The following is a 26,304-nucleotide window of genomic DNA, read 5'->3' on the forward strand; positions in this document are numbered from 1 at the left end:
CAATACAAATGTATTTTAAAGCAGATATTGGCAGGATGTAATAAAAACATGGTTGAACTAGATGCTGTCTACAAGACACACACTTCGGATTCAAAGGCACAAATAGTTAGAATGTAAAAGGTTGAGAAAATAAATACACTGAAAACAGCAACCGCAAGAGAGCTGGAGTAGTTTTGTCAACCCCAGAAAAAATAGAGTTTAAAACACAAACTATGACTAGAGATAAAACATGAACATTCTACAATTATAAAAGTGTGAAGAGGAAGATATATAAATTATAAATATATTTGCACTGCACAACAGAACACCAAAATACCTGAAGTAAATGCTGACAGAAATGAAAAGGGGAATAGATAATTCAGCAATCATTGTTTGAGACTTCAATACCTTGCTTTCAATAATGAATAGAAAAGCTAGTCAGAATACCAACAAGGATATACTAGATTTGAAAAAGCAATAAATCAAATGGTCCTAACAGACATTTATAGAACACTACACCCAACAACATCAGAATATATGTTCTTCTCAAGTACACCTGAAATGTTCTCCAGGATAGACCATACGGTGGGCTATAAAACACCTTAATAAATGTAAAAGGACAGAAATAATATAAAGTAGGCCCCCAAACCACAATGGAATGAAGTTATACATCAATAAAACATACATTAGTGGGAAATACATGAGCATAAAGAAATCAACAAACTCCTAAATAATCAAGGGTCAGAGAAGAAATCAAAAGGGAAACTAGAAAATACTTTTTGAGATATATGAAAATGAAGACTCAGCATGTCAAACTTTTGGGATGCAGTTAAGCAGTGCTTAGAAGAAAATGTATAGCTCTAAATGCTGATACTAAAAAAAAATAAGAAACATCTCGGTTGGGAGGCCGAGGCGGGTGGATCACGAGGTCAGGAGATCGAGACCATCCTGGCTAACACGGTGAAACCCCGTCTCTACTAAAAATACAAAAAATTAGCCGGGCGAGGTGGCGGGCGCCTGTAGTCCCAGCTACTCGGGAGGCTGAGGCAGGAGAATGGCGTGAACCCCAGGGGGCGGAGCCTGCAGTGGGCCGAGATTGCGCCACTGCACTCCAGCCTGGGCGACAGCGAGACTCCGTCTCAAAAAAAAAAAAAGAAATATCTCGGGTCAATAACCTTACCCTCCGCATTGAGACCCTGGGAAAAAGAGCAAACTAAACCTAAGCAAATCGAAGAGAAAAGTGGACACTGATTAGAGCATGAATTAATGAAATGAAGAGTGGAAAAATAACAGAGATAAACCAATGAAACAAAAATCTGATTCCTTGAAGAAGTCAACAAAATTGACAAACTGTAAGCCAGATTGATCAAGAGAAAAGTGAGGAGGTTCTATTCGCTGAAATCAAGAAAGAAAGAGGAGACACTGCTATCTACATTATGGAAAAATAAAGAATTATAAAGAAATAATATGAACAATTGTATGCCAATAGATTTGATGGCTTAGATGAAATGGATGAATTTCTAGGTATACATATACCATGCAAACTGGCTGGAGGAGAAATACACAAGTTAAATAGATCTATGAAAATGAAACAGAATGAAATAGTAATTAAAAACAAAAAACAAAAAGCAAAAAAACTACCCAGAAAAAAAGATCAGGCTCAGATGGCTTCAATGGTTAATTCTACTAAATATGTAAATAAGAATTAATAGCAATTCTTCAACAGTTCTTCCAAAAAAATAGAAGAGGAGGGAAAACTTCATAACTCATAAGCCTGGCAACAAAATCATATATAGACTCAAAAGCAAAACTATGAATAGGACAGAAAAAATCCCCAACAAAATATTAGCAAACCAAATCCAGCAACATACAAAAATATTTATACTCGGTGACCAAGTGGCATTTATCTCAGGCACATAAGGTTGCTTTAACAGCTACACATCAATAAATGGATTTTATCATATGAACAGATAATCATTCAAAAAACACGTATTCATCTCAATTTATGCAGAAGAAGCATTTGAAAAAGTTCAACAGCCTGTCATAAGAAATACACTCAAGAAAAAAAAAACTGGGAATAGAAGGGAATTTTCCTCAAACTGATAAAGAGCACCTATGATAAAGAACACCCACAGGTAACATCATATTTAATGGCAGAAGACCGAATCTTTTACCCTTAATGTCTGAAACAGCACAAGGATGCCTGATGTAGCCACTACTACTCAACAATGTATTGAGGGTTGTGGCCATGGTACCTGGTTTTCAAAAAGATGGGAAATGAAGACATAAAACTACCTCTATTAGCATACGGCATCATCTTGTAATTATAGAATCTTAAGGAATCCACTAAAAGACTTTAAAGACAAATACTGAATTTGGCAAAGTGAAGGAATACAACGTCAATACACGAAAATAATTTCTATTCCTATAGAGTAGCAAAAAGGACATTGAATACAAAATTAAGAAAACAATTCCATTTGCAATAGCAGCAGAAATAATAAAATACATGGGAATAAACCTAACAGAAAGTGCAAAACTTATACTCTGCAAAACCACGAAGCATCGTGGAAACAAACTAAAAGACTTACAGTGTTGAAAGACAAACAATAGTTGGAGACGTCAACACCCCATTTTGAGCGTTGAACAGATCATCCAGACAGAAACTCAACAAAGAAATATCGGACTTGCTCTGCACGATACACCAAATGGACCTAACAGGTATTTACAGAACATTTCCTCCAACAGCTGTAGAATACACATCATTCTCCTCAGCACGTGGATAAGTTCTCAAGGATATGCCGCATGTTAGGCCACAAGACAAATCTTAAAACATTCAAAAAATTGAAATAATATCAAGTATCTTCTGTGACCAAAATGGAATAAAACTTGAAACCAATAACAAGGGAAATTTTGGGAACTATACAAAAATGTGCAATTTAAAGAATGTGTTCCTGAATGAGCAGTGGGTCAATGAAAAAATTAAGAAGGAAATTGAAAAATGTCTTAAAACAAATGATAGTGGAAACACAAACTGCCAAAACCTGTGGGTTGCAGCAAAAGCAATACTAAGCGGGAAGCTTAACAGTTATAAGCCCCTATATCAAAAAAGTAGAAAAACTTCAGGTAAACAACCTAACAACCTAACAGTGCATCTTAAGAAACTAGAAAAGCAAGAGCAAACCAATCTCAAAATTAATAGAAGAAAAGAAATAATAAAGATCAGAGCAGAAATACATAAAATCTAAACGAAGAAAACAATGCACAAGATCAATGAAATGAAAAGTTGGTTTTTTCAAAAGAGAAACCAAATGGACCCACTTTTAGCCAGAATAAATGAGAAATAAAAGAAAAGAACCAAATAAATAAAATCAGGGATGATAAGGGAGACATTACAACTGATAGTGCAGAAATTCAAAGGATCGTTAGAGGCTACTGTGAGCAACTATATGCCTGTAGATTTGAAAACCTTGAAGAAATGGATAAGTTCATACACACATACAACCTACAAAGATGGAACCATGAGGAAATTTAAAACCTGAACAGAACAATAACAAGTAATGAGATGGAAGCCATAATTAAAGTCTCCCAGCAAAGTAAAGCCTGGTACCCAATGGCTTCACTGCTGAATTGCGCCAAACATTTAAAGAAGAACAAATACCAATCCTACTCAAAGTACTTCAAAAGGTAGAGGAGGAGGGAATACTTCTGAACTCATTCTATGAGTGTTTTCCTGATACCAAAACCAGACAAAGACACACACACACACACACACACACACACACACACACACATACACACACGCAGAAAACTATAGGCCAATATCCCTGATGAACATTGATGCAAAAATCCTCAACAAAATACTCACTCACAAACCGAATTCACCAACACATTAAAAAGATAATTCATCATGACCAAATGGGATTTATCCCAGAGATGGAAGGATGATTCGACATATGCAAATCAGTCAATGTGATGTATCATATTAACAGAATGAGGGACAAAAACATATGATAATTTCAAAGGATGCTGAGAAAGCATTTGATAAAATTCAACATCCCTTCATTATAAAAACTCTGCAGAAACTGAGTATAGAAGGAACAAACCTCAGCATAATAAAAGTCATATATGACACACCCACAGCTAGTATCATACTGAATGGGCAAAAACTGAAAGCCTTTCCTCTAAGATCTGGAACATGACAAGGATGCCCACTTTCACCACTGTTATTCAACATAGTACAGGAAGTTCTAGCTAGAGCAGTCAGACAAGAGAAAGAAATAAAGGGTGTCAAAATTACAGAGGAAAAAGCCAAATTATCCTTGTTTGCATATGACATAATCTTATGTTTGGAAAAACCTAAAGACCCCACCAAAAAACTATTAGCACTGATAAACGAATTCAGTAAAGTCCCAGGATACAAAATCAACATACGAAAATCACTACCAACTGTGAACAATCTGGAAAAGAAATCAATAAAGTAATCCCATTTACAATAGCTATCAATAAAATAAAATACCTAGGAATTAACAAAGGAAGTGAAAATCTCTACAAGGAACGCTGTAAAACACTGATGAAAGAAATTGAAGGGGATTGCAAAAATATGAAAAGCTATTCCATGTTCATTGATTGGAAGAATTATTATTGTTAAAATATTCATACTATCCAAAACAATCTACAGATTGCCAAAAGAAGAGCAAAGGCTATCCTGAGCAAAAAGAACAAAACTGGAGGAATCATATTACCTGACTTCAAATTATACTACAGAGCTATAGTAACCAAAAAGGCACGGTACTGGCATAGAAACAGACACATAGATCAATGGAACAGAATAGAGAGCCCAGAAACAAATCCACACACCTGCAGTGAACTCATTTTCCACAAAGGTGCCAAAAACATGCACTAGAGAAAAGAGTCTCTTCAATAAATGGTGCTGGGAAAACTGGATATTCACATGCAGAAGCATGAAACTGGACCTCTATCTTTCAACTTACACAAAAATCAAATTAAAATAGATTACAGACTTAAATCTAAGACTTCAAACTATGAAACTACTAAAAGAAAACATTAGGGGAAACTCTCCAGTATATTGCACTGGGCAAAGATTTCTTGAGTAATACCCCGCACACACAGGCAACCAAAGCAAGAAAAAAAAATAGACCAATGGGATCACATCAAGTTGAAAAGCTTCTGCCACAGCAAAGGAAACCGTCAACATTGAAAACAAAATAGAGAATAGAAAACCATGGGGGCAAAATCAATGAAACTAGGAGTCTCAAGTGGAATCCTTTGTTCATCAACAAAGTAAAGAGGCAAACCCACAGAATGGGAGAAAATATTTGCAAACTACCTGTCTGACAAGAGATTAATAACCACAATACATAAGGAGCTCAAACAACTCTATAGGGAAAAAATGTAATAATCCGATTAAAAAATAGGCAAAGGATCTGAATAGACACGTCTCAAAAGAAGACACATATATGGCAAACAGACATACGGAAAGGTACTCAACATCATTGATCATCAGAGAAATGCAAACCAAAACTACAATGGGATAGGATAAACAGGACTTTCATTAAAATTAAAAACTTTTTGCTGCAATTAATAATACCATCAAGAATGTGAAAAAAGAAGCCCCAGAATGGGAGAAAGTATTTGCAAATCATATAACTTATAAGTGACTTGTATCTAGATTACAGAAATTAGTTTTAGAAATTAATAATAAAACATATAACCTCATTGAGAAATGGGCAAAAGATGTGAACAGCCATTTCTCCCCCCAAAAAAATACAGGCAGAAGTAAATATAGGCAGAAGTAAAATGATACCACGTGGAAACTAGGATTGACCAAGAGGAATGAATGAAACCTATGGCTATATATGAAAGATAGCTTTTTTCCTCATTTAAAAAAATATATATATAAATGACAACTGACAGTTTATAACTAACTTGAAAGCGGAATGATGTTTATAACATACATATGTTATAGCATATGTAGAAATAAAATGCGTAACAATAGCACTGCAAAAAAAAAAAAAAGAGGAGAAAAATAAGGTATACTCCACTGAGATTGAAGCACTGTATGTGAAATGCTATAGTATTACTTGAAGATAGAGTGTGGTAAGTTGAGCAACCATTTAAATAAATTGAAATAGATACAGCTAATAAGACAGTAGTGAAGACAAATGGAATCCTAAAACGCCCAACCAAAATGTGATGAGATGAAAAAAAATGGACGAGAGGAGTAAAGAACAAATGGGAAAATAGAAAACAAACAGCAAGTACATAGATTTAAACAAAATATATTGATGTCCATTAAATTTATTTTTTATTTTAATTTTTATTTTATTTATTTATTTATTATTTTATTCTGAGACGGAGTCTCGCTCTGTTTCCAGGCTGGAGTGCAGTGGCGCAATCTCAGCTTACTGCAACCTCTGCCTCCTGGGTTCAAGCCATTCTCCTGCCTCAGCCTCCCGAGTAGCTGGGACTGCAGGCGCCCACGCCCGGCTAATTTTTTGTATTTTAGTAGAGACGGGGTTTCACCATGCTGGCCAGGATGGTCTCAATCTCCTCACCTCGTGATCCACCCGCCTCGGCCTCCCAGAGTGCTGGAATTACAGGCGTGAGTCACGGCGCCTGGACTAAATTTACTTTTTATCTCCAGGAACTAGGAAAAGAAGAACAAACTAACTCCAAAGTTAGCAGAAAGAATGAAATAATAAAAAATTAGAGCAGAAATAAAAAAAAAATAGGGAATAGAAGACCACAGGAAAATAATCAGTGAAAATAAGAGTTGGTTTTTTGAAAAGATAAACAAAATTAACAAACCTTTAGCCAGACTAAATGAGAAGAAAAGAGAGAAGAATCAGGGAAATAAAATCAGAAATGAAAGAAGAGACTTTACAATTGATGCCAGAAATATAAAAAGAACCATAAGAGACAACTGTGAACAATTACGCAGCAATAAATGGGTCAGCCCAGAAGTGGATAAATTCATAGATGCATACAACCAACCAAGCCTGCATCATTAAAAAAAACAGAAAATCTGTACAGAACAATAAGGAGTAAGGAGATTGGATCAGTAATCAAAAACTTCCCATTAAAGAAAAGCTAAGGACCAGATGGCTTCCCTGGTGAGTTCTACCAAGCATTTAAAGAAAATTAACCCCAAACCTTCTCAAACGCTTCCCAAAGCTTGAAGAAGAGAGAATGCTGTCAAGTTCGTTCTATGAGGCCAGGGTCACCCTGATACCAAAGCCTGATGAAAACACTTCAAGAAAAGGAAGCAGGAGGACAATATCTCTGATGAACATAGAGGCAGAAATTCTCAACAAAATACGAGCAAACCAAACTCAGGAGCACATTAAAAGGATCGTTCACCATGACTAAGCAGGATCTATTTCTGGGAAGCAAGCAAGGATGGTTCAACACGTGCAAATTAATTAATGTGATGCACCACATTAAAAGGAAAATTACAATTGAGGCAGTAACTAATAGCCTACTGACCAACAAAAGCCCAGGACCAGACGGATTCACAGCCAAATTCTACCAGAGGTACAAAGAGGAGCTGGTACCATTCCTTCTGAAAGTATTTCAAACGATAGAAAAAGAGGGACTCCTCCCTAACTCATTTTATGAGGCCAGCATCATCCTGATTCCAAAACTTGGAAGAGACACAACAAATAAAGAAAATTTCAGGCCAATATCCCTGATGAACGTCCACACAAAAGCCCTCAATAAAATACTGCCAAACCGAATCCCGCAGCACATCAGAAAGCTCATCCACCACGATCAAGTCGGCCTCATCCCTGGGATGCAAGGCTACTTCAACATACGCAAATCAGTAACCGTAATCCATCACATAGACAGAACCAATGACAAAAACCACATGATTATCTCAATAGTCGCAGAAAAGACCTCCAATAAAATTCAACACCCCTTCATGCTAAAAACCCTCGATAAACTAGGTATTGATGGAACATATCTCAAAATAATAAGAGCTATTTATGACAAACACGGAAACATTCCCTTTGAAAACCGGCACAAGACAAGGATGCCCTCTCTCATCACTCCTATTCAACATAGAATTGGAAGTTCTGGCCGGGACAATCAGGCAAGGGAAAGAAATAAAGCGTATTCAAATAAGAAGAGAGTAACTCAAATTGTCTCTGTTTGCAGATGTCATGACAGTATATATAGACAACTCCATCGTCTCAGCCCAAAATCTCCTTCAGCTGGTAAGCAACTTCAGCAAAGTCTCAGGATACAAAGATCAATGTGCAAAAATCGCAAGCATTCCTATACACCAATAATAGACAAGCAGAGAGCCAAATCATGAGTGAATTCCCATGATTTCTTCTTTGCTACAAAGAAAATAAAATACCTAGGAATACAACTCACAAGGGATGTGAAGGACCTCTTCAAGGAGAACTACAAACCACTGCTCAAGGAAATAAGAGAGGACACAAATGGAAGAACATTCCATGCTCATGAATAGGAAGAATCAATATCGTGAAAATGGCCATACTGCCCAAAGTAATTTATAGATTCAATGCTATTCCCATCAAGACCATTGACTTTCTTCACAGAACTAGAAGAAAAACTACTTTAAGTTTCATATGGAATCAAAGAAGACCCCATATAGCGAAGACAATCCTAAGCAAGAAGAACAAAACTGGGGGCATCACGCTACCTGACTTCAAACTATACTACAAGTCTACAGTAACCAAAACAGCATGGTACTGGTACCAAAACAGACATATGGACCAATGGAACAGAATAGAGACCGCAGAAATAACACCACACATCTACAACCATCTGATCTTCGAAAAACCTGACAAAAACAAGGGGAAAGGATCTCCTATTAAATAAATGGTGCTGGGAAAACTGGCTAGCCATACGCAGAAAACAGAAACTGGACCCCTTCCTCAGACCTTATACAAAAATTAACTCAAGGTGGATTAAAGACTTAAATGTAAAACCCAAAACCATAAAAACCCTAGAAGAAAACCTAGGCAATACTATTCGGGACATAGGAATGGGCAAAGACTTCATGACGAAAACGCCAAAAGCAATTGCAACAAAAACCAAAATTGACAAATGGAATCTAATTAAACTAAAGAGCTTCTGCACAGCAAAAGAAACAAGCATCAGAATGAACAGGCAACCTACAGAACGGGAGAAAATCATTGCAATCTACCCATCTAACAAAGGGCTAATATCCAGAATTTACAGGACACTTAAACAAATTTACAAGAAAAAAAAAAACAAACAATCCCATCAAAAAGTGGACAAAGGATATGAACAGACACTTCTCAAAAGAAGACATTTACATGGCCAACAAACATATGAAAAAAAGCTCAACATCACTCATCATCAGAGAAATGCAAATCAAAACCACAATGAGATACCAACTTATGCCAGTCAGAATGGCGATTATTAAAAATGTCAAGAAACGATAGATGCTGGCAAGGCTGTGGAGAAATGGGAACGCTTTTACGCTGTCGGTGGGAACGTAAATTAGTTCAACCATCGTGGAAGCCAGTGTGGTGATTCCTCAAGGATCTAGAACCAGAAATACCATTTGACCCAGCAATCCCATTAATGGGTATATACCCAAAGGAATATAAATCATTCTACTATAAAGATACATGCACATGTACGTTTATTGCAGGCACTATTTACAATAGCAAAGACTTGGAACCAACCCAAATGTCCATCAATGATAAACTGGATAAAGAAAATGTGGTACATATACACCATGGAATACTACGTAGCCATAAAAAGGAATGGGATCATGTCCTTTGCAGGGACATGGATGAAGCTGGAAACCATCATTCTCAGCAAACTAACACAGGAACAGAAAACCAAACACCGCACGTTCTCACTCAGAAGTGGGAGTTGAACAATGAGAATACATGGACACAGAGAGGGGAAGGACACACACCAGGAGCTGTTGGGGGGTAGGGGATGAGGGGAGGCAACTTAGAGGATGGGTCAATAGGTGCAGCAAACCACCATGGCACACGTATACTTATGTAACAAACCCGCACGTTCTGCACATGTATCCCGTTAATTGTTTTAGAAGAAATAAAGAAAAATAAAAATTAAAGAAAAGAAGAAAGAAAATAAGACATTTAAAAGCTGAGGAAAATTTTTTAAGCACACTCTTCTAATAACTACATATAATTAATTGGTAATCATCCCTAAAGACCTTGTTAAGGTTAAAAGAATGGTTATGTGGAGACTTTTTAAAACCGTATTTGTAAATCATAAAGAAAACTTCAGTCTTCAATAGATTTACTGGTTAGCAGTGTCATACATTTAAAGAAAACATAGTAGTAGTCCCAAAAGAACACTTTTAGAAAATACAGGAGGGAACACTTTCCAGTTCATTTTATGATGGCAGCATTACTTTTATTTAAAAAAAAAAAATAGAAAAAAGATACCAGAAGAAAAAAAGGAACTACAAACCAGTGTTCCTAATGAACATAGTTACAAAACTCCTTGATAAAATTTTAGCAACTTGAATCCAATAATATATGAAAAAAAAATAATCTATTACCAAGCACAGTCTGTCCTGGGAATGTAAGGTCATTTTACCATTAAAAATCCGTGACTATATTTCACCATATTAATGGAATAAAAGAAAAGAGCATTTATTATCCAGATATATAACAGAAAAGTAATTTGATAACATAAAACACCCATTCATGACCAAAAAACCCAAACCACTTGATAAGTACATAAAGCAACGTCCTCAACCTAATAAAGTACTCCTACAAAAAACCTGCAGCTGGCACCATGCCTAATGGTGAAATACTGAATGCTTCTCCCATAAGATTAAAAATAAGGCAGACTCTTACTATGCGTATACAATTATCCTTGAGGTCCCAGCTAGTGCAATGAGCCAAGGAAAATAAGTAAAAGGCATACAGATTGAATAGGAAGGAATAAAAAAAACCTCTCCATTTACAAATAGCATGATAGTCTACATACAAAATACTAAGGAATGTGGGGATAAACATCTCCTAGACCTAACAAGTCACATAACAAAGTTACAAGACAGAAACTCAACATACAAAAACCCACTGTGTTTCAACATACTGGGAACAAATAATTGGAGATGACATTATTTAAAATGTCATTTATAATTACAGCAAAATAAATGAGGTATCTATTGAGAATTTTAATGTAATATGTGAAAGACCTGTATGCAGACCACTATAAAATACTGGCGAGAGAAAGTGGAGACCTAAATAAACAGAGATATATAATGTTCGTTGATCAGAAGACTCAGGTTAAGATGCCAATTCTCAAGTAATGGATCTATAGGCTCACCATAATCATAATTAAAGTGAAGAACTGTTTCTCAAAAGTTATATATAAATGCAAATGACATAGAAGATCCAAAGCCATTTGGAAAAGAACAAGCATGAAGGACTCACATCACCAAAGTCTCTGACTTAATATAAAGACATGGTAATCATGACAGCCTGGTATGACCTTAAGAATTCACATAGGGATCATTGGATGAAATAGAAGAAGGGCTAGAAATAGACTTACATATATATAGTAAGTTGATTTCTAATAAAGGCTCAAAGATAATTAAATTAGCTGACAATTAACTAATAGTGCTGGAAAAAGTAGATCTCTTTACGGAAGACCCAAACAACTTCAATATCTCACCATTCATCCCGACATTATTCACACTTCATGCAGGCATTAATTCAAAATAAATCCTAGATCTAAGTGTAAATTGCAAAATATTAAAACCTACAAACATCAGAAGAGAAAATCTCTGTTGTGAGGCTAGGCAACGATATCTTAGGGTAGGACACATGAAAGCATGAATCACACTGGAAAAATGATCAATGGACTGCTATTGATCAAAATTCTATTATCAAATTCTATTAAATCAATATATATCAAAATTCTATTAAAAATATACCCTTTGGGTTCTCAAAAACCAGGGTTCAGTGTCTCTGTGAGGCACAGCTTTTCAGGTTCCTGTACTGGAACCTCGTGACTGACTTTGACTTCTATTAAACCCTAGAACAGAAAACCAGGCCTACATATTTTCAGTTGCAAAACCTCACGGTATTGTCTTGGGCTTCTACTTGTGATGCTCTCCCTTTTCTCTATTTCTTGGCCAATTTCTTTTGTCCCTCCTTTCAGGCACGCCTCCTCTGGGAACTCTTCACTGACTCCGTTCCAATTCCCAAGGCTGAGTGACTGCCCGCCTCCTCAGTCCTCCCGTAGCCCCATAAACGTCCCTCCATCACTCTCTGTTACATTCATGCCTCTCTCGGTTTCTCCCTCACAGAAGAGCTTGAAGCAGAGCCTCATTCAGGGCACGGCCCATGATAGGCTCACAGAGATCAACTCTGTAGCCTCAGGATTATGTAAGAGATGCTTTCCTAAACAGCACTATTGTTTCAAAAGCCAAAGAAAGACTCTGAGGCCACCTACTTCCACTTTCCCTTCAGGGTACTGTTTGCAGGGAGCTCCTGTGAAGTCAGCGGTGCGGACCGCACAGACCTGGTTAGCAAACGGGGGGCATAACTTGGCAGCATTGCTTGTAACTCAAATGTCAAAGCCTGATTTTGACATAGCAAGACTAGGCAACAAGGAGCTTTCACCTCTGCTCTTCTACTTTCTTTTGTTTGTTTGTTTGATTTGTCAGTTTGTTTTTGAGACAGAGTCTCCTTCTGTCTCCCAGCCTGGAGTGCAGTGGAGTGGTGCCATCACGGCTCATTGCAGCCTCCGCCTCCCAGGCTCAAGCAATCCTCCCCCCTCAGCCTCCTGAGTAGGTGGGGCTAGAGGTGTGTGCCACCATGCCAGGCTACTTTTGAAATTTTCTGTGGGGGTGGGGTCTCCCTATGCTGCCCAGGCTGGTCGGCTGTTCTACTTTCAACTCACCCCAGCCCAGGCCCTTCACCTCTCCCTCTCTCTCACATTTTCCAAGCCCTCCAGGCCCTAAACCACCTGATACTGACTGGTACATAGACGTGGAGTCTCACGTAAACCTCTGAAAAGAAAACTGCTGTTGATTTGGACTCTGGATACCATTACCCAGCTCACGCTCCTTGCTGTGACGACTCATTTGGACTCATACACCTGCCCAGGGCATCCATGTACATAATCCTGTGAATCAAAGGCAGGAGAGCACCCACATGGACACTCGGGTCTGTGGCATCCCCACCAAATGATGACTCATCACCAGCTTGAAGACCTCTGCTTTTTCTGCTCGGCAAGGAGAAACGTGGCTCGAGCCTGCTGAGAGGGCCAGGAAGCAGCAGCAAAGGAAAGAAAGATTGGAGGACTGGGAGTAAGAGATACAGAAACAAATGGAATGCGACATGCCAGAAATGTATCCCCTGCTGGAGCACCAGGCTGTAGGGGGGGAGGGACGATGGGGCAGGGGCAGAGGGGCTGAATGGGGCGTGGAGGGGGCAGGCCCTCGGCCTCTTTGCACCGGGCAGAGTGACGAGCTTCGCCGGTGTCTTCATTGAAGTCCTGTTGGTCCCTACCGGCACATCACACACTCCTGGAAGCATGATCTTCACTCCCTTCCTTCCACCTGCTGACCTGGTGAGTCTGGCTTCCCTCCGTTGTCCTGGAATGTCCCCTAGGAGGCTGGGCTTTGGTCTGCGCAGGTCACTGCTGCATCCCTCACCCATGGAAGAGGGCCGGAGATGCACACAACAGTTGCGTAACGGAAGCCAGGGATGGGAGGGAGCATTAGGATCCAGTTATTTAGTCTGTCTTTCAGAATGTGAAAGGGCCGCAAAAAGACCCTGAGGAATTGGTTGCTGTATCTGACACCGCGGAGGACCCATCCAGTGGCACAGGCTTGCCCAGGGAACCTGCTCTTCTGCGAGGGTCTTGGAGGAGCCGGTTCCAGAGGGCCCTGGCATGTTTCATCAAGTGCTTCAGGCGAGAGCTCCTTCGGAGCCAGCCTCTGCCTGTCTCACTGGCTCGCCACCAAGCCCATCCGCCTCCCCTTCCTGTTCCACCAAGAGAACCTCAGGCCAAGCCAGAAATCCCCAGGGCTCCCGAGGGTCCACTTGTCACTCTGCTTTCCTCCCTAGGGGAGGATACCGGGCACTCGGAATCTGAGACCACCGGAGCCACAGACACAGGCGTGAACGGTGACCGAGCCCCCTCTGATGCTCCATGCCCCTGCTCGCCCCAGTGTCCCGGTCACCGGGCCTGAAATAAATGCTGGCACGCTTGACTGTTTTTGCTTTGTGGCATTTGATGTAACTTTCAACACGTCGGCTGAACTGGGGGTGGTCAGCTTTGGTGGTGGTGGGGTTGTGAAGGGAGAGAGCTAGCATCTTCCTTAGCCCTGTTAGGCTGTCTGCCCTCCTCGAGGCAGCGCTGCTTGTTACTAGGTCCTGGTGGCGATGGGCTGTAGCCAATCAACGGTGAGTTTTCCACGGCTCTCAGCTCTGACCCTGGCGGGGCACTTACATGCAGGAATGAGGACGGAATAACATCTCACATGCAGGAATGAGGACGGAATAACATCTCTCTTACCCCCAGCAATGCACACAGTCTTCATATCTGAGGAAAACTGGGCGGTGTTTATATGCGGAGGCGAGAGGGTCATGTGGAGGAAGAATCTGTGGACCTCAGAAAAGGCGTTAACCCCTGTACTGACAAAGAGCTCCCAAGCCCCGCCTACTCCACCACAAGACAGAGACCCCTTCCAACAGACGGCCTTGTCTCCAACTATGCATTGTTCCTTTCCATAAGATGAGGACTTTATTTTTTTTCTTTTGCCTTCCTAAGGTGACCTTGATATGTGTTGCAACACAGTATCAGCAGGAGAATTCTGAAAGGGGGGCGGTTGGAGCATAATTGTCCCTGTTAACTAACAACCATGGAGGAGGCCCTGTTAGAAACTGCAGCACCAGGAGTCACCAAAGTAAATGGACAAGGATATTGGATGTGCTCTTTAGCATCAAGAAGCCTAACTAGGACACAGGAACACCAAAATTCTCTCTCCCCCTCCCCCGTCTCATGCAGTCCCCTGTGCAAAGCCAGGGGAGGAAAAAAAAAAAATGCTTTCTTAGGGCCTGCTGGGTGAATTACTCACCCTCTGGTTCTTCAGAGGTCCAGGGCCTTTAAGCTCAAATGAAATCCAGATGGGGTAAGGTTCAGGTAGGCGACAGCATTTGGAAGTCCCACAGCCCTTTTCCTATATTCCTGGGGAACAGCCACGGTGAGACCCATAGGTACTGAACAGACAGAGCTGTTAATTATGGAGTGATGGAGTTCTTTAGATCCCATGTCTCTGCAGCTTTTTCGATGGCACAGGTACCACCTATCTCCCCACAATGGCTCTGTCCTCCTGAGCTGGGCCCTAACTCAGTGGGGGAAGTTCAGCTCCATGTTGCTGCTTCTCCAAAAGGGGCTAGGACTTGACATCATGGGGTTTAGCCCTAAACCCCATGTTTAGTCCAAAAGAGGAGCAGCGTTCCAACTCCCTAGGGCTGGGGGCTTGTTGGGTGTTCGTTCCTTCATAGCTGCTGTCATAACCATGAGCTCAGTCATTGCACTGGTAAGGGAGTGTCAGGGAGAGTCTGTGCATACATGTGCATGGGCATGCTTGTGCTTGTATGTGTGTATTTAGGATGCAAATACTTGTTGAAACAAGAAATGATGTGGGGAAATCTGGTGGATAGGGCACAACTTGGCAGTCACTCTTGAAACCCAAGTGGCAGAGATGGGATTTAAAGGTAGCCAGACTCAGCAACAAGGAGCCCTTCTCCCCAGCACCACACTCTCTCCAGGGCTCTCCAATCTGATCCTAACATTGTCCAAGTCTGCTTTGCCCAGAACCATATGCCCACTACCCACCAGATGCTGACTGACTCCCACACACAGCCACAGCACTACGCATCATCTCCTGAAAGGAACACCTCCACTGCTGATTCGACCTCCAGTTGCCATCGTCCACCTCAGGCCCTCTTGGGTTGGATGGACCATGAGGACTTCCCTGCCTTCCCCATTGCGCAGGCCAGTGGACTCTGCAGCCTCACAGCAGAAAATGCTTTCCTCTGCCAGCCCCGTATACACAGGAGATTCCACTCATGTTGAAATTTGGTCCCCAAGGTGGTGGTGCTGGGAGGTGAGGCTTAGTGCACGGTTGTTTGGGTCACGAGGGCTCCACCTTTGTCCTTGTAGGTGTCTTGGTGCTCTCCTCACAGTAGTGAGTGAGTTCTTGCTCTGGCGAGACTGGATTAGTGCTCGCAGGAATGGACAAAGTGCCCAAGATAGTAGGTTGCTATACAGCCAGGATGCCCCTCAGGTTTTCTCTCATTGCATGTGTCCACTTCCCCCTTGACCTTCCTCACCACATTATGACACAGCACACAAGCCCTCGCCTGAAGCTAGGGCCATGCCCTTCAACTTCCCAGCCTGCAGAACCATGAGCTAAATAAATATTTTTTTATTTATAAATCACGCAGTCTCATGTATTCTGTTACAGCGACACAAAACAGATGCTCATGCATCTCAAGAGCAGGCCCATTACCCATTGCATGATGAACCATTTGAGCATGCAGGGCAATCACATGCAGGAATGGGGAAAGACAGGTCAGCAATAGGGGAAGGCATGGGTCGTCAGCTTTACACCTTCGTTTCTGAAATATGACCGTGACCGAGTTATGAGTTCTTCTCCTTTGCTTACACCTCCCCCCGACCCGCGTTTACATCACCTCACAATCCCCGTGCCTGAGAGACGTCTCAGGTAGGTCAGTAAAGTAAAGTCGACAGTGCCTCAGAAGAAGGTGTGGGGTCAGAAATTCCACGGCTCCAGGCTCACCCAGCACTTCTGGTGAACAGAAGACCATTGGACTGTGCGAGTGAGCAAGAGATTAAGCTTGTTTTTCTGCCCCACCTGTCCTCAATCTCTCTGGTGCTATGTTCCCGTGAATCCTGGGCAGCCTTACAGAGGCAGCAACATTTGTACTTAGCTCCATGAAATGTTACACAGCCTGCTGTGTTACAGGAGCGTCACATGTTTTTGTTTTATTATTCCACCATCCGGATCAAGGTGAGTGGTGTGATCACCATTCTGAGGTTGCATCGCCAGCACAAGAGGGAGCCAAGATACAGTCCCTGGTTGATCTGAGGCAAGGATCCTTCCATTACAGCAATGCAGTCTAAGAGCCACTGTCACCAACTACAAATCTAGGGGGTCCTATTGAACTGTGAGTTACAGCCCATGCTCTTGGTGATGGAGACACTGTACTTGCAGTCCCACATGCAGCAAAGCTAAAACATTCATGGAGTCAGGGTTCCCCGGTAACAGGGTGCTTGGAGACAGTTCCCACCACACAGTGCCCAATCTCCTCCCACACTGCACCCACTGGGGACTTGTTTTGACTGGTAAAATGATGGTGCGACGTAATGGGGAAAAAACTGCATCTGTCGTGCCCCTCCTCCAGTGCTCCCCATGGTCACCTGAGGTAATTCTACAGACTGCCAGAGTACTCCTGAGAACAGTCGGAAGACTGCTGGTGTCCTACAGAAGATGGAGCCTAACCGTGGGCCTTCCAGACACATACTAATGAGTGATGGGACCTCACATTGGTCATATCAAATCACATTCATCTGGTTTATTTCCTGTAGGGGGAAAGCTGCATCTCGCTGGAACCCCCAGAGTGGTGCCCGCAGCATCACAGGGTGGGCAGCTCAACCTTTAAGCCATCCCAAGGGGGAGCACACGCTCCAAGACCACTCTCATAAAAGGCTGACCCATCCTCACTGCACTGATTACAAAGAGAGACTTGGCTTTCCTGGGACTCCAGCATGAGGAAGTGTAATGAGATCATGCCAGTGAGGGTCAACGTGGGCTTTGCTTGTTTCTGTGACCCTGCCAGTCAATTTTATTCATTCACTGGCCATCTTTAGACACCTCTAGTCTCAATCACAGAAAATAGATGGGCATAGGGAGAAATTGTGCCCAAAGAAAATGCACTCACTCACTCGTGGGTTTTAAAGTTTGTGGGGAAAATTAGTGGAGGAGGGTTTGGAGGGAAGTGGCATTACTTGAGAGATGCTTTTCATAGGATAGATAGAACGGTGCTGTGTTAGGCTGGAGGTGGGCCTGGGGCAAGGTCCAGAGGCAAGGGGCCAAGGATGACACCCAGGTTTCTGGCTTGAGTGACTTGTGGCCCTGGGGTACCATTGACCCAGATAGGGATCACAGGCGGAGGAGGAGAATTCAGTGAAAGGCTGAAGAAATCGGGTCTAGTCTTCGGTTCTGCTAAGATTCATATAGCTGATGGGTTGCTGAGAAGCTACGTTGAACATACTTGGCAATTACACAGGAAATAACCAGAATTCTACCCCATTCAGGAAATTTATACACATCCTGTTCTTGTTTCGGCTTGGTTTGGAGTTTGTTTACATACACGATAACACATGTATGTTTTGGTGTATGGTGTAAAGGTGAGGCTCAAAACTGGTGGTGCTCAACCATGTTGGGTAATATTTGCAGGCTGTCCCAGGCCCTAATTGGCCACTTAAGGGTGGACAAGACCTGTAGTGCAGAGACATCATAAACCATTGGCACACACCATGGAGCATGGGTTAGGAGGCTTTGGTCTTGGTTTACTTATCCATCAGCGTCCTCTGGGGATTGTGAGGGGAGGGTGAACAGCCTCCTCCCAGAGGTAGGAGCTAGACTTGTCTTATTTACTTGCTGTGAGAACTAGATGGGGTAAAACGTGTGGGGGCATGCCAGGCAAAACCTGGTCCCCAGTAACAGTGACTTCCCATATCTACCGAGAGGACAGGAGCTATGGATTCTTTGGGTGGCATTTGTAACTCCACTGGGAATAGTATCATCAGTGGGCATTTAATGATTAGTAGTAATGTCGGTGACCATTTGTCTCATAATACACAGCTCTGGTATGTTTTCTGCAATTGCCTGGATGAGTAATCTGTTGGACTTGCATCATGTTCCTCATGTTCTTGTTTTTTTGTTGTTGCTGTTGTTGTGGGTACATAGCAGGTGTATCTCACTTTCTAATATCTTCCAGGGCTGTTGGGAGCTTTCTCATTGCTCCTCACAGCAGTCCTGGGTGGTTGAGAAGGACCGATGCTATTACTCTTTGTGGGAGCGGGAAAGAAAGCGTCTCACAGAGGGGTTGTGAAGATTACTTGGGATGCCCCCTCCACAGAGCAGCTGGTGTTGTACCAGGCCTAGAGGCAACATCCATCAGGTTCCTTGAGATCAGGCCCTTTGGGATAAGCTCTGGATGCCATTTGTCCCCAGATCATCATCCAGCAGCAGTCATTTACATGCAAATCATGATGATACTAGCAATAGCTGCTAAGCCTGAGAGGTTGCATTGATAAGAGCTATGGGCTGCTGAAATGATTGCTGGAGGTATGTCTCACCCCCTTTCCTTTTATCCCAGCTGGGGTCAAAAAACCCACCTTTCCGACACTTGCAATGGTGGCTCAGAACTGTTATCTGGTTATTAGAGAAGTGGCCAGGAGAGAGCCAGTTGCTTAGACAAAGTCACAGTTAGTGGTGGGTCTTGTCCTGGCCCCCAGATCTCCCAACCCTCACTACAAGTGTCCTGTCCAGCAGGCCCATTATTATGCCCCTTCTTCTGCCATTCCTTGTCTTGTGTGCTTTGAAGTAGGCACACACCTCTGAGGACAAAAGAGGGCTTCTTCTGCTACATGCTGTGTTCCCTCTGTGTCTAGGAGGAGGCCAGTATGAATGGGGCTTTAATGTTGGCCTATAGCCTGCCATGGGCCCACGTCACTGCATAGCTTTCCAGTTAGGCACACATAGGTCGGGATCTTGGATTAGAATCTAGGGACAAATCCCTGCACCTTTTCTTAGCCTCGCTTTCTGCATTTGAGCGCTGGGGTAAATAGGAGGAGCGACGTCAGCAAGAAGGCTGAACAGATGATCCCACAGTACCACTCTCCCCACAAAAGTACAACTACAAATTAATCAAAGGCAAGAATACCACCCTGGTTTCACTAGAACTTGGGGGAGAAGCAAGGAAACTTCCTGGGATGACAAAACTGAGAAAAGCCACAACCAGTAAGAGGAACAACAGTCACGTTAGACTGTGCCACCTCCTCCCCCAAACCAGCATAATGCTACTCACAGAGAATTTCTCTAGACCCACAATTTCTGAGGTGGAAGGAGGGAACTGGAAGTGGACATGTGACCTCCCCATCAGTCTGGGAATCTTCATGGGAAGTCCCCTCCAGCCCTATCCCACGGGTACCCTTCAGAGTTCCAGAAGAGAGCTGAAACACCTGGGGTGAATTGGGAACAGAAAGTGGGTGCACTGATCACAGCAACTCTCACGTGGATCTTGGCAGCTGCTCTGTGCCACGATCAGTGGGCATGCCAATGCTGAGGAGACTGGCCAGAACCACAGCACTGCTGGGGGCGCAACACACAGGAAGGCCCAGATCCCTGGCCAGATTTCTCACTAAGCCCATGTGATCACATGGAGCCTTCCCTTGACCTGGAAAGAACTAAAAGGTTGGCAATAATGGGCCAGTGTTCGCTTAAGTCTTCCCCAGACCAAGAAACAGTGGCAGGGCAGCAACATAGTTAAGTGGAGCATTTAAGTTCTGGTGCTCACAGTAAGTCTTTTCCAGACTGAAAGCAACAGCTGGCCAGGGATTAAGTTCCAATATTAAGTAGTAAAGGTTTGACACCACCAAGGAGCAGCTGCAAAACCTGGAAGAGGTGAGCATCTCCTTAAACACACAGACATCAACATAAAGAGACAAGGATTGTGAAAACTCACAAAATGTGACACGCCAAAAGAAACCAACCAAACTCCAGTAACAGACCCAGAAAAACTGAAGATCTATGGAATGTCTGACAGACAATTCAGAATAATCCTAAAGAAGTTTGGGGAATTACATGACAATATGGATAACAAACTAAATAAAATTTGAATAACAATCCAGGAACAAAACAAAAAATTTGACAAAGAAATAAAAACAATTAAAAAAAAAAAAAAAAAAAACCAGAAGTCCTAAAATAGAGAATACAGTGACTGAACTGAAAACCTCATTAGAAAGGTTTAACAGCAGAGTTGACCAAACAGGGGAAAGAATCTGTAAGCTCCAAGACAGAACATATATAGAGGAGGAAAAAGACAAAAGCATTTTAAAAGAGGGAAGAAGGCCTTTAAGAATTATAAGACATCATCAAGAAAATTAGACTCTGCATAATAGAAATTGCTGAAGAAGACAAAAAAAAATACAAGGTCTAGAAAGCATATTTAGAAAAATAACGGCTGAAATTTCCCAAATCTGGAGAAAGATCATAGCATTCAGGCACAGGAAGCTCAGAGGTGACAAATAAAATTCAACCCAAAGACAAATTCCCCAAGGCACACCATATTCAAATTATTTAAACAAATCAGAGGCAAAGAAAAATGCTCAAAGCATCAAGAGAAAAACAACAAAAACAACATATCACACTCAATGGGTCACCAATACAGCTTTCAGTGGATTTCTCACCAGAGACCCTGCAGGCCAGGGAAGGGAGGAATGATACATTCAACGTGATGAAGAGGAAAAAAACTGTCAGTCAAGAATACCATATTCAGCAAAGCTATCCTTCCAGCAAAAAAGAAAGAAAAAGACTTGCTGAAACAAAAAGAAAAGAAAGAAAAGAAAAAACGTGAGAAAAATCATCAACACAACACCTGTCTTACAAGAGATGCTAACGGGGTTTCTTCAGTCTGAAAGAAAAGAACACTAACATGTAACAAAAAAATATCCGAAGGTATAAAACTCACAGGTAATAGTAAGAAAGCAGACAGATTTACAATGCTATAATATTGTCATCGCGGGTTGCCAAATATATCTTAAGTATGAAACCTAAAAGACAAAACTGTTCAAAACAGTAATAACTACAACAATTGGTTAAGAGATAAGAATACAAAAAGATGTAACTTAAAACATCAGAAAGTCAAAGTGTGGAGGGAGGGATGAGTTAAAGTGTAGAGTTTGTTTTTGTTCGTTTTTCCTGTGATTAAAGTTAAACTGCTATCTGTTTAAAATAACCTGTTGTAATTATAAGACATATTTTATACATCTCATCATGGTAACCACGAAGCAAAAACCTATAATAGGGACACTAAAATATAAATAGGAAGGAATCAAGATTTACTACTAGAGAAAAATACATAACAGCAAAAGAAGACAGTAAGAGCAAAACAAAGGAAGAACAGATCTACCAAAAAAAAAAACAAAAAACAAAAAACAGAAAACAGGTAACAAAATGGTAGTGTTAAACTTTTACCTGTCAATGATAAACTTGAATGTAAATGGACTAAGTTCTCCAATTAAAAGACATAGAGTGGCTAAAAACACAAGCCCCAACTAAATACTGTCTAGAAGAAACTCACTTCACCGACAAAGACACACACAGACTGAAAGCAAAGGGTTGGAAACAGACATTCCATGCAAATGGAACCCAAAACAGAGTGGGAGTACCTCTACTTAGATCAGATAAAATAGACTTTATGTCAAGAACCATAAAAAGAAAAAGACAAAGAAGGCCATTATATGATGTTAAACAGGTCAATAAAGCAAAAGGATATAACAATTGTAAATATATGTGTGTGTATATATATACATATGTTTTTGTAACAATTGTATATATAGTAATATATATTACAAAATATATATATTTTAACAACTGTAATATATATTGTAATATATATTTAATTGTTAAATACGTATATTCTAACCATTGTAAATATACATATTTTGTAAATATATATATAGTAAATATATATAAATACTTATAATTGTTATAAATATATGCACCCAACACCAGGGCATCCAAATATGTAAAGCAAATATTAAAAGACCTGAAAGGAGAGATTGACCATAATACAATAATAGTGAGGGACTTTAATACCCCACTTTCAGCAGTGGACAGATCATCCAAACAGAAAATTAACCAAACAGAAAATTAATGTCGGCATTAAACTGCACTCTAGACCCCATGGACCTAACAGATATTTACAGATCATTCCATCCAAAAGCCACAGAATACATATTTTTTCTCAACAGCACATGAAACATTCCTCAGAATAGACCATACGTTAGTTCACAAAGCAAGTCTTAACAAACTTTTAAAAATCAAAATCACATTGAGTACTTTCTGACCACAATGAAGTAATCAATAACAGAGGGAATATTGAAAACTGGGCAAAGTCGTGGAAATGAAACAACATGCTCCTGAACAATGGATGGGTCAATGAAGGAATTAAAAAGGAAAAAGGAAATTTAAAGATTCCTTGAGACAGATGAAAATGGAAACACAACATACCAAATCCTATGGGATACAGCAAATGCAGTTCTAAGAGGAAAGTTTATAGCAATAAATGCCTGTGTAACAGAAGTGGAAATATCTCAAATAAACAACCTAATGTTACGCCCCAAGAAACTAGAAAAAGAACAACAACAACAACAAAAAAAAAAACCCAAAGTTGGCAGAAGAAAAGAAATAACAAAGATCAGGGCAGAAATAAACAAAATAGAGATTTTTTAAAAACAACTTAAAAATCAAAAAACAAAGAGTTAGCCTTTTAAAAGATAAAGAAATTGACAAATCTTTAGCTAGACTAACTAAGGAAAACAGAGAGAAGATTCAAATAAAAACAGAGATAAAAAAAGGAAACATTACAACTGGCACAACAGCGGTGGAGATGATGATAAGAGACTATCATGAACAACCATCTGCCAAGAAATTCAAAATCTAGAAGAAACAGATAAGTTCCTGAACACATACAAGCTACCAAGATTGCATCACAAAGAAATAGAAAACCTGAACAGAAACAATAAGGAATAATGACATTGAAGCAGGAGTAAACACTCTCCCATCAAAGAAAAGTCCAGGACCTGATGGATTTGCTGGTGAATTCTACCAAACATGTAAAGAACTGGTACCAATTCTTCTCAAAGGCTTAAAAACAAACAAACAAACAAACAAGCAAATAAATGAAGAGGAGGGAATAGCTTCAAACACATTTTACGAGGCCAGCATTACTGTAATTCCAAAGCCAGACGAGGACACGACAAAACAACAAAGCTAAAGACCAATATCCCTAGTAAGCATGGATGCGAAAACCCTCAACCAAACACCAGCAACACATTAAAAACATCATCCATCATGATCAAGTGGGATTCATCCCAGGGATGCAAGGTTGGTTCAATATATGTGCAATGTAATAAAAGTGATGCCTCACATCAACAGAACAAAGGACAAAATCCATATGCTCATTTCGATAGATGCTGAGAAGCATTCAAAAAATGTCAACATCCCTTCATGATAGAAACTCCCAGCAAAGTGGGCAAAGAGGTAAAAAACATACCTCAACAAAATAAAGGCCGCATATGATAAACCGAAAGCTAATATCATACTGAATAGGAAAAAGTTGGACGCTTTTTCTCTAAGATTTGTAACAAGAAAAGAATGCTCACTTTCACTGCTTAAATTCAACTTAGTATTGAAAGTTCTAGCCGGAGCAATTAGGCAAGAGAAAGAAATAAAGAGCGCCTGTATTAGTCTGTTCTCACGCTGCTGATAAAGACATACCCGAGAGTGGGTAATTTATTTTTTAAAAAGAGGCTTAATGGACTCACAGTTGCACGTGGCTAGGGAGTCCTCACAATCATGATGGAAGGCAAAAGGCACATCTTACATGTCGGCAGGCAAGAGAGAAAATGAGAGCCAAACAAACGGGGAAACACCTTATAAAACCAACAGGTCTCGTGAGACTTATTCACTACCGCGAGAACAGTATGGGGGAAACCGCCCCCAAGATTTTATTATCTCCCACCAGGTCCCTCCCACAACACATGGCAATTATGGGGGCAACAGTTCAAGATGAGATCTGGGCGGGGACACAGCCAAACCATAACAGCATCCAACCTGAAAGGAGGAAGTCAAATTGTCCCTGTTTACAGACGACATGGTCTTATATAGAGAAAACCCTAAAGACTGCACCAAGTAACTATTAGAACTAATAAGTGAATTCGGTAAAGTTGCAGAATATAAAATCAGCATACAGGAATCAGTAGCATGTCTGTTTGCCAATAGCAAACTATCTGAAAAAGAAATCAAGAAAGTAATTCCATTTACAATAGCCACAAAAAAATAAAAAATAAAATCCTAGCAATAAACTTAAGCTAGGAGATGAAAGATCTCTACAGTGAAAACTGTAGAACACTGATAAAAGAAACTGAAGAGCACACAAATAAATGGAAAGAGATCCCACATTCATGGACGAATTAATATTGTTACAATGTCCATATTAACCAAAGTGATCTCCATGTTCGACATTTGACATCCCTGTCAAAATACCAATGACAGTCCGGATAGAAAAAAAAAATCCTAGATTTGTATGGAGCCACAAAAGATGCTGATAGCCAAACCAATCCCAAGCAGGAAGAACAAAGCTGGAGACAACACACTACCTGACCTCGAAATATACAAAAGCAACCAATACAACAGGGCACTGACATAAAATCAGATACATAGACCAATAAAACATTATAGGGAACCCAGATATAAATCCAAGCATTAACAGCCAACTGATTTTCTACAAAGGAGCCAAGAACATACATGGAGGATAGGACAGTCTCCCCAATAAATGGTGCTGGACAAACTGTACGTTCACAATCAGAAGAATGAAACCAGACCCCTATCTCTCACCATATACAAAAGTCAAATCAAAATGACTTAAAGACTGCAATGTCAGACCTGAAACTGTGAAACTTCTAGAAGAAAACATAGGGGAAACGTTTCACGAAATTGAACTGGGCAACGATTCTTTTCTTCAGTAAGGCCTCGAAAGCATAGGCAACAAAAACACAAATAGACCAATAGGATTATATCAGACTATAAAGCATCTGCACAGCAAAAGAAACAATCAGTAGAGTAAAGAGACAGCTTACAGAATGAGAGAAATAGTATTTTCAAACTATGCATCTGACAAGGGGTTAATATCCAGAATATATAAGGAGCCCAAACAATAGCAAAATTCATAATAATTCAATTAAAAATTGGGAAAAATGCCTGAATAGACTTTTCTCAAAAGAAGATGTGCAAATGGCCAACGGATATATGAAAACAGTCAACATCACCAATCATCGGTGAAATGCAAATCTAAACCGCGATGTGATATCACTTCGCCCCAGTTAGAATGGCTATTATCAAAAAGACAAAAAGTAGCAAATGCTGGAGAGGATGTTGAGAAAGAGGAACACTTATGCACTGTTGGTGGGAATGAA

At 40.7% G+C, this 26,304-nt stretch overlaps 2 protein-coding genes across 6 annotated transcripts in view, besides 1 other annotated feature; one reads left to right on the forward strand and one right to left on the reverse strand.

Moving 5' to 3' along the window:
* DMRTC1 (DMRT like family C1) overlaps nucleotides 1-26,304 on the reverse strand; it is a 71,813-nt gene that overhangs the window by 27,154 nt on the left and 18,355 nt on the right. The window lies entirely within an intron of this gene.
* On the forward strand, nucleotides 13,437-14,223 carry FAM236C (family with sequence similarity 236 member C). Of its 2 annotated transcripts, none has more exons than NM_001351111.1 (3): nucleotides 13,437-13,572; nucleotides 13,742-13,917; nucleotides 14,073-14,223. In NM_001351111.1, exons 1-3 carry the CDS (start codon nucleotides 13,537-13,539, stop codon nucleotides 14,098-14,100), a joined length of 240 nt encoding a protein of 79 aa, NP_001338040.1. In that variant the 5' UTR covers nucleotides 13,437-13,536; the 3' UTR covers nucleotides 14,101-14,223. The 2 variants fall into 2 exon arrangements, with proteins under 2 accessions (NP_001338040.1, NP_001338041.1); NM_001351112.1 differs by having other exon boundaries at nucleotides 13,754-13,917.
* Nucleotides 13,618-14,119: an enhancer, noted in NCBI's record as "H3K4me1 hESC enhancer chrX:72132634-72133134 (GRCh37/hg19 assembly coordinates)". NCBI's record gives its function as "activates a minimal SCP1, AML or CMV promoter by ChIP-STARR-seq in primed H9 embryonic stem cells {active_cell/tissue: H9 hESC(primed)}" and the evidence as "EXISTENCE:reporter gene assay evidence [ECO:0000049][PMID:30033119]".

Source organism: Homo sapiens, chromosome X, assembly GCF_000001405.40.
Source record: "Homo sapiens chromosome X, GRCh38.p14 Primary Assembly".
In the NCBI taxonomy this organism is placed as follows: domain Eukaryota; kingdom Metazoa; phylum Chordata; class Mammalia; order Primates; family Hominidae; genus Homo; species Homo sapiens.